Source organism: Homo sapiens, chromosome 3 (assembly GCF_000001405.40).
Source record: "Homo sapiens chromosome 3, GRCh38.p14 Primary Assembly".
Lineage (NCBI taxonomy): Eukaryota > Metazoa > Chordata > Mammalia > Primates > Hominidae > Homo > Homo sapiens.
In genome coordinates this window covers 1,600,397-1,602,377 of record NC_000003.12, presented here as the reverse complement: position 1 = coordinate 1,602,377, position 1,981 = coordinate 1,600,397, and the positions used below count along the sequence as shown (strand labels likewise).

At 47.1% G+C, this 1,981-nt stretch overlaps 1 annotated feature.

Moving 5' to 3' along the window:
• Positions 1,140 to 1,640: an enhancer, noted in NCBI's record as "H3K4me1 hESC enhancer chr3:1642422-1642922 (GRCh37/hg19 assembly coordinates)". NCBI's record gives its function as "activates a minimal SCP1, AML or CMV promoter by ChIP-STARR-seq in naive H9 embryonic stem cells {active_cell/tissue: H9 hESC(naive)}" and the evidence as "EXISTENCE:reporter gene assay evidence [ECO:0000049][PMID:30033119]".

The following is a 1,981-nucleotide window of genomic DNA, read 5'->3' as shown; positions in this document are numbered from 1 at the left end:
TACTAAGAATAAGAACAAGGCAAGCACATTCTCTCTTACCGCGCCTATCAGCATTGTACCAAATGTCATAACTGGTAAAATAAGAAAAGAAAATTAAGGTATATAAATATATATGGGAAAGAAATAAATCATCTGTCTTTGTCCACAGATGACATGGTTGTGTAAGTATAAAATCTAAAAGAATCAACAACTGAAAAACCTCCTGGAATTGTCAACACAAAACTGAAGAAGAACAAAAAAGAAGACTGACACTATCTGACTTCCAGGCTTACCATATATCTACAGTAATCAAGACAGCATAATGTTAGTGGAGGAATAGAAAAAATAGATCAAGACAACAGAATAGAGTGGCCCAGATATAGACCTAAACAAATAGAGTCAACTAATCTATGGCAAAGAAACAAAGGCAATAATTCAATGGAGAAAAGAGAATAGTTTCCAAAACTAGGTATTGTAAGATTTGGACGTCCATATGAAAATAAAAAGATTCTAGACAGAGACTTAAGTGCAAAATGCAAAACTATAAAATTCCTAGAAGATAACATGGGAGAAAATCTAGGTGACCTTGCTTTGTTGGTTTGTTCTTAGACACAACACCATAAGCCTTTTAGTTCACACTCAGCCTCCAGCAATCTGACAAAATGACCATTTGTTTGGTTGATGTTAATGTACGTCTCTAGCAACAGCTACTCCAGGTGAGTAGGCCTCTTCTGTAACTCTCTAGATTCACAATTCTCTCCATACTTCAGGGTGGCAGGTTTCCCTTTAACCTTACTTATCTGATGGATCCAAGAAAAGTCACTGATTTTCAGTTCATTCAGCCTTTTTCTTGTTGTAAGGATGAGAGTAATGACTTCCAAGTCCTTTACATGTCAGAACTGAAACCAGAAGTCTCCTCACTTCTGATTTTCCACCCTGACACCCTCTTGTCATTGAGGTCTGTCACTATTGCCCTATTTAAAATTGCTAAACCCTCAACGATTACATCTCTGTTCCTCACTACATTGCTCTAGCCTGTCCCATAAAGCTGAGCCCCTTGGCCGCCCTTTGGCACCTACAGCCTCGGTGCCATGAAAGGCAGCAGGAAGCAGACGGATTCCTGGGTGGAAGGAGGTGGGTCCTGAGCGAGGCTCCACCTTCCGACCATGGAGGGCCTGAAGGCTGGGGTGCAGGCTGCCAGTCACCCGGACTGGAATGGGAACTTGTGGTGCCTTTTCTGGGCCCGCCCATGGCTGCTCATGGACCAGTCGGCACACACTTCCTCCCGGGAAGGGGAGGAAGACAGCGAAAGCAATCGTAACAAAAACAAAAATTGACAAATGGGATCTAGTTAAACTAAAGAGCTTCTGCACAGCAAAAGCCTCAGCTCACCCGGAGCTGAGCAGACGTCGGGACAACCAGCTGCAGAATGGAGCTACACACTCCAGGGGCTCCTCTGTGCTAAGAGCTGCAGGCGTTGGGAGGACTGGCTGCAGAGGGCAGCCACCCTCTCTGCTGGGGGCCGAACACTGGAGGGGACACCCTGGCTGTGGAAAGGAGCTGCCACCTGCGAGAGACTGAGTTGTTCTATAGCTCAATAAAGCTCCTCTTCATCTTGCTGACCTTTCGCTTGTCTGCAGAACTCATCCTTCCTGGTTGCAGGACAAAAATTCAGGACCTGCCGAATGGCGAGGCGAAAATTGCTGTAACACAAACAGGGCTGCAACATGCCTCTTGCTCTCCATGTTGAGGGGGAAGAGAAGGAGAGAAGAGCTGCAGCCCTTAGGGGAGCCCAGACCTGGGACCTCCCCAAGCCAGGACTGTGACGACCTCTTTGGAGCCCTGCGGTTTCTGGCATCTCCAAGCTTCCAGGCACCACCACATTCCCTGGTGCCAGCTGGAGAAACTGCTTGCTATGTGCCTGGTCCAGCTGGCGCCCATGCCAGCACCTAGAGCTGCCCACCCTGTGGCAGCAGCTGGTGTGTCTGACTGCACAGTGTGG